This window comes from Homo sapiens, chromosome 19 (assembly GCF_000001405.40).
Source record: "Homo sapiens chromosome 19, GRCh38.p14 Primary Assembly".
Classification (NCBI taxonomy): domain Eukaryota; kingdom Metazoa; phylum Chordata; class Mammalia; order Primates; family Hominidae; genus Homo; species Homo sapiens.
The window spans coordinates 7,051,736-7,065,346 of NC_000019.10; the positions used below are offsets into that span (position 1 = coordinate 7,051,736).

The 13,611-nt window shown below is 34.3% G+C and overlaps 1 protein-coding gene across 1 annotated transcript; it reads right to left on the minus strand.

The window, feature by feature from the left end:
- Positions 1 to 4,471: 4,471 nt before the first annotated feature.
- On the minus strand, positions 4,472 to 6,941 carry MBD3L3 (methyl-CpG binding domain protein 3 like 3). The gene is made up of 2 exons (NM_001164425.4): positions 6,826 to 6,941; positions 4,472 to 5,168 (listed from the first exon to the last, which is right to left on the minus strand). Exons 1-2 carry the CDS (start codon positions 6,868 to 6,870, stop codon positions 4,587 to 4,589), a joined length of 627 nt encoding a protein of 208 aa, NP_001157897.1. The 5' UTR covers positions 6,871 to 6,941; the 3' UTR covers positions 4,472 to 4,586.
- Positions 6,942 to 13,611: the final 6,670 nt, after the last annotated feature.

Consider the following 13,611-nt stretch of genomic DNA (forward strand, 5'->3'; position numbering starts at 1 on the left):
AACAGGTGTAAGGAGTGGATGTTTTTGTGGTGAGAAATTGGGTTTTATGGGATGAGGAAGGAGACCTTTACATGTCACTGTACATCTCAGTTTCTGTTTACCATGATTTTAATTAATTGTTTTTGTTTGTTTGTTTGTTTGTTTGTTTTGAGACGGAGTCTTGCTCTGTTGCCCAGGCTGGAGTGCAATGGCGCGCTCTCGGCTCACTGCAACCTCCACCTCCCGGGTTCAAGTGATTCTCCTGCCTCAGCTTCCCGAGTAGCTGGGATTACAGGTGCCCACCACCATGCCCGGATATTTTTTGCATTTTTAGTAGAGATGGGGTTTCACCAGGCTGGCCAGGCTGGTCTTGAACTGCTGACCTCAGCAATCTGCCCACCTCGGCCTTCCAAAGTACTGGGATTACAGGCATAAGCCACCTTGCCCGGCTGTTAATTAGTTTTTGTATTAAATTCTAATTTAATCTTTGGCCTGGCGCTGTGGCTTATGCCTGTAGTCCCAGCACTTTGGGAGGCGGAGCAGGGCAGATCGTCTGAGGTCAGGAGTTCAGGACCAGCCTGGCCAATATGGCGAAACCCCATCTCTACTAAAAATAACTAATCAGGTGTGGGGGCGGATGCCTGTAATCCCAGCTACTGGAGAGGCTGAGGCAAGAGAATCGGTTGAACCAAGGAGGCAGAGGTTGCAGTGAGCCAAAATGGTGCCACTGTACTCCAGCCTTGGTGAAACTTTATCTCAAAACAAAAATTCTAATTTAATTTTCAAATGAAATCCTTTAAAAATGAAATTCTGTAATTTTAAATGAAACGAATACATTACATTATAATTTGTTAAAAATGTATTACATTTTCATTTTTAAATTGAGTTTTCATTGTTTGAAATTTTCGATTTAGGGGTACATGTGTACATGTTTGTTACATGGATATATCGCTTAACGGTGGGGGTTGGTTTTGTAGTTTATGGGTTACCCAAATACTAAACATCGTACCCAGTAGCTAAGTTTTCAACCCATGGGTAAATTCAATTAACCTAGCCTGAAGGATTATTCAGTGTTTAGACATTACATTTTCTCCCTATAATATACATTCTCAAGGCGAAGTTGGTACGTATCCCAAGATTTTTTTTTTAATGAAACATTTTTACCCCATTTACTCTGATGTGGTTATCAGACATTTTGTGCCTGTATCAAAATATCTCACGTACCACATAAATATATACACATACTACGTCCCTGCCCGCTGTTTGACTTTGAGTTTCCTTACCTCTTTCTCTTTATCGTTGATCAAAACATGGAATGGAATACTTCATGGTAATTATTTTATGCATCTCGGGTTAGGTGGAAACTACTGGTTGTTTTCACTCTAGCAGAGTTAGGGTGGCAGGAAGTGCCTATCAGCAGATGCTACTGCACACCAGCCCGGGCGACAGAGCAAGACTCTGTGTCTAAAAATAAATATATAATTTATATATAATTATAAATACATTATATATAATTTATATATAATTATAAATACATTATATATAATTTCTATATAATTATAAATACATTACACATAATGTATACATAATTATAAATACATTATGTATAATACAATTATATACTATATAATTATATTATATACTATAATATATTTCTTATATAATTATATTATAATATAATTTATATGTTATATAATTATATTTTATATTATAATATAATTTATATGCTATATAATTATATTATATATTATAATATAATTTATATGTTATATAATTATATTATATATAATATAATTTATATGTTATATAATTATATTATATATATAATATAATTTATATGTTATATAATTATATTATATATATAATATAATTTATATGTTATATAATTATATTATATATATAATATAATTTATATGTTATATAATTATATTATATATTATAATATAATTTATATATTATATACTTACATATATTATATATTAAAATATAATTTATATATTATGTAATTATATATTATATATTATAATTATATTTATATATCATATTTATATAATTATATAATATAATTGTATAATATATACTATATAGGTATATTATATAATTATATATAATTATATATATTATAATTATATAATATAATATATATTATATTATATAATATATAATTATACATAACTGTATTAAATATAATAATATATAATTATATATAATATATATAATATACTATAATATAATTATATATAATTATATTATATATTATGTATAATATATAATTTATATTATATAGTATATATAATATATATAATATATAATATGTAATATATAATATATAATATATATAATATGTAATATATAATATATAATATATATAATATAATATAATTATATAAAATTATATCATATTGTATTATAATTATATATTATATATAATATAGTTATGTATAATTATATATTATATAATATAATATATATTATATTATATAATTAATATATATAATTATATATAATAATTAGATACCTATATATTATATAATTATATTATATAATTAATAAATATATTACATATAATTATATAAATATAATATATAAATATAATTATAATACATAATATATATAATTATATAATATATAAATTATATTTTAATATATATAATTATATAATATACAAATTATAATTTAATATATAATATGTATAATTATATACTATATAAATTATATTATAATTTATAATATAATTATATAACATATAAATTATATTATAATATAAAATATAATTATATAACATATAAATTATATTATAATATATAATATAATTATATAACATATAAATTGTATTATAATATATAATATAATTATATAACATATAAATTATATTATAATATAAAATATAATTATATAACATATAAATTATATTATAATATAATTATATAAGAAATATATTACAGTATATAATATAATTATATAGTATATAATTTTATTATACATAATGTATTTATAATTATGTATAAATTATATATAATGTATTTATAATTATATATAAATTATATATTTATTTTTAGACACAGAGTCTTGCTCTGTCGCCCGGGCTGGTGTGCAGTAGCATCTGCTGATGGGCACTTCCTGCCACCCTAACTCTGCTAGAGTGAAAACAACCAGTAGTTTCCACCTAACCCGAGATGCATAAAATAATTACCATGAAGTATTCCATTCCATGTTTCGATCAATGATAAAGACGTAAGGAAACTCAAAGTCAAACAGCGGGCAGGGACGTAGTATGTGTATATATTTATGTGGTACGTGAGATATTTTGATACAGGCACAAAATGTCTGATAACCACATCAGAGTTAATGGGGTAAAAATGTTTCATTAAAAAAAAAATCTTGGGATACGTACCAACTTCGCCTTGAGAATGTATACTATAGGGAGAAAATGTAATGTCTAAACACTGAATAATCCTTCAGGCTAGGTTAATTGAGTTTACCCATGGGTTGAAAACTTAGCTACTGGGTACGATATTCAGTATTTGGGTAACCCATAAACTACAAAACCAACCCCCACCGTTAAGCGATATATCCATGTAACAAACATGTACATGTTCCCCTAATTCGAAAATTTCAAACAATGAAAACTCAATTTAAAAATGAAAATGTAATACATTTTTAACAAATTATAATGTAATGTATTCGTTTCATTTAAAATTACAGAATTTCATTTCATTTTTAAAGGATTTCATTTGAAAATTAAATTGGAATTTTTGTTTTGAGACAAAGTTTCACCAAGGCTGGAGTACAGTGGCACCATTTTGGCTCACTGCAACCTCTGCCTCCTTGGTTCAACCGATTCTCTTGCCTCAGCCTCTCCAGTAGCTGGGATTACAGGCATCCGCCCCCACACCTGATTAGTTATTTTTAGTAGAGATGGGGTTTCGCCATATTGGCCAGGCTGGTCCTGAACTCCTGACCTCAGACGATCTGCCCTGCTCCGCCTCCCAAAGTGCTGGGACTACAGGCATAAGCCACAGCGCCAGGCCAAAGATTAAATTAGAATTTAATACAAAAACTAATTAACGGCCAGGCAACGTGGCTTATGCCTGTAATCCCAGTACTTTGGAAGGCCGAGGTGGGCAGATTGCTGAGGTCAGCAGTTCAAGACCAGCCTGGCCAGCATGGTGAAACCCCATCTCAACTAAAAATACAAAAAATATCCGGGCATGGTGGTGGGCACCTGTAATCCCAGCTACTCGGGACGCTGAGGCAGGAGAATCACTTGAACCCGGGAGGTGGAGGTTGCAGTGAGCCGAGATCGCGCCATTGCACTCCAGCCTGGGCAACAGAGCAAGACTCCGTCTCAAAACAAACAAACAAACAAAAAAAACAATTAATTAAAATCATGGTAAACAGAAACTGAGATGTACAGTGACATGTAAAGGTCTCCTTCCTCATCCCATAAAACCCAATTTCTCACCACAAAACCATCCACTCCTTACACCTGTTGCCTTTCAAATACTTTTATTAAAGAACTGGTGGGGAAGGGAAAAGTGTGACAATTCAGAGTAGGAATGAGGATGGGCATTAAAAGAAAGGGACCGAAAGCCCAGGACTGCGCTTCATCTACATGTCAGCATTTCTGCCTGCCTGGCCAGCCTGTCTGCCTGCAAGGCCTTGGCCAGTCTCTCCCTGGCTTTCTTCACCCTCCTGGCCTGTCTCCGGATATCTGCAGGAGTCACCAATTGGCCAGAGAGGGGCGGTGGGAGCTGACAACCCATTCCTGGGGTTGGCCCCCCTGCCACAGCTGGAAACCGCCCAGGGGTGGGCTCAAGCGGGCTGCGCACACGCTCAGCACCAGCCCTGTCCAGAGATTCACCGGCCGTCCCCGGTGCAAGGATACTTAAGACGCTCTCCAAATGCAGTGGACTTGAACCTTCTCCTTGGCTGCTGCAGGGCTGCAGGGCCTGCAGTCTCCGGTAGGCGCAGAGTTGCTGCGGCTTCTCCAGGTGCTCGTCCCCTTTTCTGCGTCTGACCTGGTTGTCAGGATGAGACCTGATCCTTGTCACCGGCCTCCGGAAGATGCAGCTGGTGAGTCTCATGGGGAGAGCAGACCTCGCAGCTCGTCTCCGATGGGCCTTGGCCATGTGGATTTCTCGTTTCTTCTGTAAAGCCCAGGGCATCATGTTTCTTTTGAGCTTCCCCTTTCAAAAGAAAAGAAAAGAAAATGTGAAATTTCAACCAATTGGAGACAGGAGAAGATCAGCTGTGGGGGGCTTCTCTCAGCTCAGTGGAATCTTCCCACCAGCCTCTCTTTCTGGGGAAATGTGTCTCAAATGGCAGTGTACATCCTCAGCCCCTGCAGGGCTTGCTAAAGTCAGATATGTGGACCTGAACCCAAGTAAGTCTGGGGTGGACCCTAGAGTCTGCATTTCTCCGTGTGACCCTGATGCTGCTGGCAGGAGCTCCAGGCATTGACACTGGGTCCTGGGACCTCATCGGGCTGATGCGAGTCAAGGACTAAATGCTCAAGGTCATGACCCAGGGTCAGTTCCAGACCTTGTCCCTCCTCATCCTCCTCAGAGGACACCCCTCTCTTCTCTTCCCTGCCACTGTCAGCTACACAGATGCTGGTGGTGCCTCCTAACCCATCCCCAACAGGACACCGGGATCCCAGACTTCCCTGTTCACCAAGACCTCACGCTTCTCTGTATCTCTTTCTGCTGTGCTTCAGGACACAACGTCATTTTCATAGCTCCTTGACTCTCTGGTTTCCAAAGAAATCCTGCACTCGCCACCTTAAATACTCACTGCCACACCCAGATCCCACCTTCACCTGAACACCTCCTGCTCATGAAGAAAAACCTCAGAAACACCATGTTGCTTTCTGTTTCTAATAAGCTCAATTAACTAGAGGTATACCATGAGAGAATCTTTTGATGACATACTGAGAAAGATGATCAAGCGCCTCCTAAGATTTGACGTCCTTTCTTGCTCTAACTCAATTGGAAGACTCTAGTCTCATAAAGCTGTTTCCCCCACAAACCTCATCAGTGCACTTTCCATTTTAAAGCCTTTGTTTCTGTCCTCCTCATTTCATTTTTCGTTGTCCTGGCATAAAGATTAATACTACCCCTTACAGTACCCCTGGCATAAAGATTAATACTGACCCAAGATGTTCCCCTTTGGAGGGAAAATTATTTAGTCCCCTTAGTTACGGGGCACTTATGATGTGCCAAGCTGTGCAGTAGAACCCCTGATCCAGAAGTAAACTTCATAAATCACCACTCTGTTGATTTTCATCTTGGTGAGAAGGAAGACATAATAAACGCACTAAAAACAAATTTCTGGTGGAATATCAGATATAAGTAAGTTCCATGATGAAGAAGAAGGGAGTGACAGAGAGGGATGGAAGGAGGAGAAACAGAGAAACAGAAAAGAAATTCACTACAATGAATCGTGACAGTGAGTTTAGGGAATAAGCAACTCATCATGAAATTTTACCAGAGAACTAATTTTTTTTGTTTTTTGTTTTTTTAAAAAAACGGACCAAGCAATTTCTGGTTCAGGAGCTTTCCAGAGAAGGAGACAATTTGAAGACTGCAAGGCCAAATCATACTTCTTCCCTTTCCTAGTGATGTTGGATTTTTAAAAAAAAATTCAAAGCTATTATCCCCATACAGTTTCATGGGCAAAAATGAGAATACTTTGAACATTATTCAACAGATATTACCACCTGAGGTATAACTTTCCACAACATCCAGTTTTAAGAACAACCCACTGCTAACTGTAAAGCTGTCTTACAGAAGGAAAAAGGACACATATGGACATTCCTGTAATCAATAAATATCCCGTACTCACCAGAACAGGTGGGCTCGGAAAAGAGGTGAACGCAGGCTCTCCCATAGCCGTAGAGTTTCTCTTGCTGACCCCACTCTTGAGATGCAGACAACCCTTGGCTTGCCGGAAAATGCAGTGACTTCTGCATCTGGTTCCCCTTTTTATAGAGAAAGCGAGTGATAATGCAATCAGTGGATAATCCACAGGGAACACCCTGTCTCCGCCCATTGGATTTGAGGCATTTCTAAATCTTTATACAGAAACCAATGTGGTGTTACCTACACAGAGTGTTAGTAGAGAAAGAATTGAATACGTGTGTATGTGTGTGTGGCGGGGTGGTATTTACAGTTAATATCAGCATTTTAGATATGTTTCCCTTTTTCTCCCAGTTTTCCAAACATCTTTGAATACTTTCTATAGAAATAGGAATGGAATTGTCTATGTACATAAATGTTCACGTAATATTTGATTTAATAACAACAACTAAAGACCATTTAAATGTTCTTTAAGAAAAGAAAGCCCAAAACTTTTATTCACAATCCTATAGAATATATCACACAGTTGTTGCAAAGAAATTACTACTTTGGCCGGGAGAGGTGGCTTACGCCTATAATCCCAGCACTTTGGGAGACCAAGGCAGGTAGATCACCTGAGGTCAAGAGTTCGAGACCAGCCTGGCCAACATGGTGAAACCCCATTTCTACTAAAAATACAAAACTTACCCTGGTGTGGTGGCATGCACCTGTAATCCCAGCTACTCGGGAGGCTGAGGCAGGAGAATCGCTTGAACCTGGGAGGGAGAGGTTGCGGTGAGCCGAGATCGCACCACTGCAGCTCAGCATGGGCGACAGAGTGAGACTCCATCTCAAAAAAAAAAAAAAAAAAAAGTTCTATTTCGTGCATTTACATTTAATATAATTACCAGTAAATTTGAAATTGTTTCAATCATCTCATTTTTCCTAGGTTTTGACTTAACTGACTCACGTTCCTTTTGCCTTTACTTGACTGACTTTGAATTAAATATGTTTATTATTTTATTGTTATCTCCATGAACTTGCTAGTTACAGCCATACAAATCTGTGTAGTTATGCTAATAATTAAATCATATACTCTGATACAATTAATTACTTTAACCCCTCCCACAAAATGCTAATACTTTAGAACACTTTTAATTCTCTTTTTAGCTGTTTCTGACTTTTGTATTACCATTCTCATGCATATTAATTCTACACATATTTTACTCTCCAGGAGACATTTCTAGTATTGCTTCATAAAGCAATATGCACTAATATTTACCTACAGCTTATCTTGTGCATTCATCTTTGTTCCTTTCTGCATTTCTAGCATTCAATCTGGGATTATTTCCCTGTGGACTTGAGAATTCATTCTAGTATTTTTCTTCTAATTCAATGCTGCTAACAACTAATTGTTTTCCTTTACACTTTTATTTAGGCATCTTTATTTGGGGGCAATATTGCTGTCAGGTACGGGTGTCTGGTTTGACAAATTTCTTTCAGCATATTAGAAATGGTGCCCCACTGATGTCTATCTCATTTTACCTGTGTTGAGATGTCAGCTGTCAGGCTTTTCCTTGCTTCTTTGGTTTCCACATTCTCTAAACTCTTTCTCGTTGTGGTTGGTTTGTAGGCCACAGTGTAGCTCATTATTGCTTCCTGTGTATTTCCTTTGCCTAGAGGGTGTGGAGTCAATTGCATCTGTGGGTTGATGTCTTTCATTGGTTTGGAAGGTGCATATGTATCCTTCACTTCTGATATCCATTCTTGTCCAAGTTCTCTCTACTCTTCTTTTAATCACATCCCACTTGTCTCTGAAGTTTCCAATGTTGTTCATGCTTTGGTGGGAATATTTGCTCTTGAACCTTGTTCCACTTTGCTAATCTACCTTTTTTCTAGGTTCAGTCTCATTTTAATTTTCCTTCCTTCCTTCCTTCCTTCCTTCCTTCCTTCCTTCCTTCCTGTCTTCCTTCCTTCCTGTCTTCCTTTCTTTTCTCTCTTTTCTTTCGAGATGGGGTCTCACTCTGTCACCCAGGCTGGAGAGCAGTGGCGGGATCTCAGCTCACTGCAACCTCTGCCTCCCGGGTTCAATGATTCTCCTGCTTCAGCCTCCCAAGTAGCTGGGACTACAGGCACATGCCACCACACCCAGCTTATTTTTGTATTTTTTGTCGAGACGGGGTTTCACCATGTTGGCCAGGGTGGTCTCGAACTACTGACCTCAAGTGATTCACCTGCCTTGGCCTCTCAAAGTGCTAGGATTACAGGCGTGAGCCACCGTGCCTGGCCTAATTTCTTATACTCTTAGTTTCAGTTCTAAGCATAAAACACAGTAAATAGCTTTAATTAAAAACTAGGTAGAAGAACAGCTTCACAGTCAATGAGGAGATAATCTGCCTTCTTGATACAATGAAACTCTAAATAGAAAGGAGAAAATTCAAATTTGAACCATATTAAGATACATTAAGAGCAACTATTCATTCAAATACATCAGTAAGAGAGAAAGCGTGGAAAACCGGAGTGGGGGAAGAGGTTTGGATCCTGTACCCCCAGGAAAGTACATCAAGCCAGAGTATATATATAAAAAAAATCTTAATATTTAAAAAAAAGAGAATAATGTCAAACAAACAGAGAAAAATAATGAAAACACACTTGAAACTGGGTGAAAAACTTGAATGGATCCTACACAAAAGAATATAAACAAGTGACCGTAAAAAATTATTATTATCATTATTATTATTATAAATTTTCAGGTGGAGTCTTGTTCTGTCACCCAGGCTGGAGTGCAGTGGCACGATCTTGGCTCGCCGCAACTCTGCCTTCTGGGTTCAAGCGAGTCTCCTGCCTCAGCCTCCTGAGTAGGTGGGATTACAGGCTCCCACCACCACGTCCAGCTAATTTTTGTATTTTGAGTAGAAACAGGGTTTTACCGTGTTGCCCAGGCTGGTCTTGAACTCCTGACCTCAAGTGATCCACCTGCCTTGGCCTCCCAAATTGCTGAGATTACAGGCATGAGCTACCGCGCCCGGCCTAAATGACCAGCAAAATTTGAGCAAATGTTTAACCCTTTTAGCTTCAGGGAAATGCTAAAAAAATAAAAATTACAATGAGATACTATTATACAGATATCTATACATTATATTATAATATATAATTATATTATAATATTATATAATATAATTATATATAAATTATATATAATATAATTATATAATATATAAATTATATATAATATATAATAGAATTATATAATATATAATTATATTCTATATAGAATATAATTATATATAATTATATTCTATATAGAATATAATTATATATAATTATATTCTATATACAATATAAAATATAATTATAATATATAATATAATTATAATACATAATATAATTATATATTATATACTTATAGATAATATATAATAATATAATTATATAATATATTATTATATAATTATATATATAATATAATTAATATATAATTATATATTATATAATTAAATATAATTATATTATAAATTATAATATAATTATATTATATATAATTATATATATAATTATATTATATATAATTATATATATAATTATATTAAATATAATTATATATTATAATATATTATATATAATTATATATATAATATATTATATATAATTATATATATAATATATTATATATTATAATATATTATATATAATTATATTATAGATTATAATCCATAATTATATATATTATAATATATATAATTATATGATATATTATAATATATTATATTATATATAATTATATATTATAAATAATATATTATATTATTTATAATATATAATATTATATTATAATATATAATTATATATATTATAATATATAATTATATATATTATAATATATTATATATAATTATATTATAGATTATAATTAAATATATTTAAATTATACATTATAATATAATTAAATATATTTAATTATATTATACATTATAATATAATTAAATATATTTAATTATATTATAATGTATAATACAATTATATAATATAAATTATATTATAATATATAATTATATATTTTACATTTCATATATAATACAATATATTACATATAATGATAGTTATATATAATACATTATATATAAATATAATTATATACAATAGAATATGTTATATATAATTATAATTATATATATTATAGATAATAAATATATTCATTATGTATATTATATTTTTTATATTATATATTTACTATTATTGGAATTATAATTTATTTTATGTAATTGTATATTATATATTATAATTATATATTATATGTATAATTACAATATATAATATATAAATTATATATTATATATGTAGATTACATGTTATATATAATATATGTAAATTATATATTATATTTATATATTATATGTAAATTATATTTTTTTCATATATTATAATATATGTAAATTGTATATTATATTTATATATTATAATATATGTGAATTGTATATATCTATATATTATAATATATGTAAATTGTATATTATATTTATATATTATAATATATGTAAATTATATATTATATGTGTAAATTATATATATTTATATGTATAAATTATATATTATATTTATATAGTATAATATGTGTAAATTATATATTATGCAAGTATATATAGCTTATATATAGTATAATTATACAATTCTATATAATGTAATTATATATTAAATATATGTAATTTATATAATATATAATGTGTATTTAATTTATATTATATAATTACATTATGTGTTTATATATATTATTATAGAGAGAGATAAACAAGAATCTCCATGTGCTCCCCAAACTGTCTCTGGGTTTCCATCTGTGGGATGCCTTTCCCAGTGTCCTAAGGATCTTGGAGAGCTCCCTTCTGTGGCTCTCTGCAGGGAGACAGACTATCCCTAAATACAACTGCCAGACACAGAACAAAACTGTTGCCGTCATGCCAGGTACCACGTCAGTATCTTCAACCAAGATTGGAGCTCTTCTGGGGTGCTACAGAAGCCCACGGGTAAGGAGTTTGGGAATTCTACAGAGAAATATTTGGGTCTCCCCTAATGCCACTCTCTTACATCTCATCGAATGGAAAGGTGGACACTGAGCTTACATATCCATGAGAGTTATAACAGAGTTATAAACAGACCTTAGGGAATTCCCTGTATCATGAAATGATCATGATGGTGATGATGCTGATGATTATTATTATTATTTTGGAAAGAAGGTCTCACTCTGTCAACCAGGTTGGAGTGCAGTGGTACAATCACGGCTCACTGATGTCTCGACCTCCTGGCTCAGGTGATCCTCCCGCCTCAGCCTCATAAGGAACTGGGACTACAGATGCATGCCACCACACCTAGCTAATTTTGTTGTTGTTGAGAAGGGGTCTCACAATGTTGCCCAGGCTGGAGTGCAGTGGCATGTGGTATGATCATGGCTCACTGTAGTCTTAACCTCCTGAGCTCAGGTGATCTTCCTGCCTCAGCCTCCCAAGGAACTGTGACTACAGGCGCATGCCACCACACCTGGCTAATTTTTGTATTTTGGGTTTTTTTGGTAGAGATGGGGTCTCACTATGTTGCCCAGCCTGGCCTCAAACTGTTGGCCCCAAGTGATCCTCCCGCCCTGGCCTCCCAAACTGCTGAGATTACATGTGTGTGCCCAGTCAACATTATTAACAATAGCAAGGATGGGAATAAAACAGAACGTGCAGTGGATGCTGTGAGTCTCGACCCAGAGTCCTGTCCATGGCCAATGCCTCCATCCCCCAGCTGCTGAGAATACTGACTGCTGACAGTTCATAGCTGTGTGCCTTACTGGAAACATCAGGATTACAGGACGCCAGGAATTCCGCAACACAGAGAAGTACCCCATCCTAGAATATGACTTTCTCAGGGGCATCCAGAGACCAGGCTCACACCTATAATCCCAGCAATTTGGGAGGCCAAGGCGGGCAGATCACCTGAAGTCGGGAGTTTGAGACCAGCCTGACCAACATAGAGAAATCCCGTCTCTACTAAAAATACAAAATTAGCGGGCGTGGTGGTGCAGGCCTGTAATCCCAGCTACTTGGGAGGCTGAGGCAGGAGAATCGCTTGAACCCGGAAGGCGGAGGTTGTGGTGAGCTGAGACGGCGCCATTACAAACAAACAAAAAACCAAAACAAAACAAAAAAACCAGAGACCAATGACTGTCAGATGCTAGAGATACAAAGAGAAAATTTACTAAAGAATTTACTTCTGCCTTTCACACCAAAAGAGAGAAATCTCTGGTTTCCAACACTTCCTCAAGACAGTGAACCCTTTCCAATACACAGAAGACTTTTACTTTAGTAAATTCTGGATTGACCTTTTTTTTTTTTTTCCTACTTGCTGGATCGCAAGGTGGAAGAATTGTGGAGCTTGCCCATCAAATTCTGCCACTGCACTCCAGCCTGGGTGACAGAGGAGACTTGGTCTCAAAAATAAAAATAAATAATAAATGTATACATTTTGATGGGTTTGGACATATGCACACACTTATGGTGCCACCACCACAATCGAGGTACTAAATATATTCATTCATGTCATGCCCTTTTCAAAGTACAAGGACCAGGTCAGGAGCAGTGGTGGCTCATGCCTGTAATCCCAGCACTTTGGGAGGCCAAGGCAGGAAGATTGCTTGAGGCCAGGAGTTCAAAACCAGCCTAGGCAAAATAGCAAGAGCCTGTCTCCATAAAAAAGAAAAGAAAAAGAAAAAAATGAAAAATTAGCTGGGCATGGTGGCATACACCTGTAATCTCACCTACTC

What these genes read in the sequence shown, in the direction of transcription:
- MBD3L3 (NM_001164425.4), bottom strand. Translation starts at nt 6,870, where the DNA reads ATGGGAGAGCCTGCGTTCACCTCTTTTCCGAGCCCACCTGTTCTG. An exon ending in TTCCGAGCCCACCTGTTCTG is followed by an intron (nt 5,169 to 6,825) that starts GTGAGTACGGGA and finishes TTCTTTTGAAAG; the next exon opens with GGGAAGCTCAAAAGAAACAT.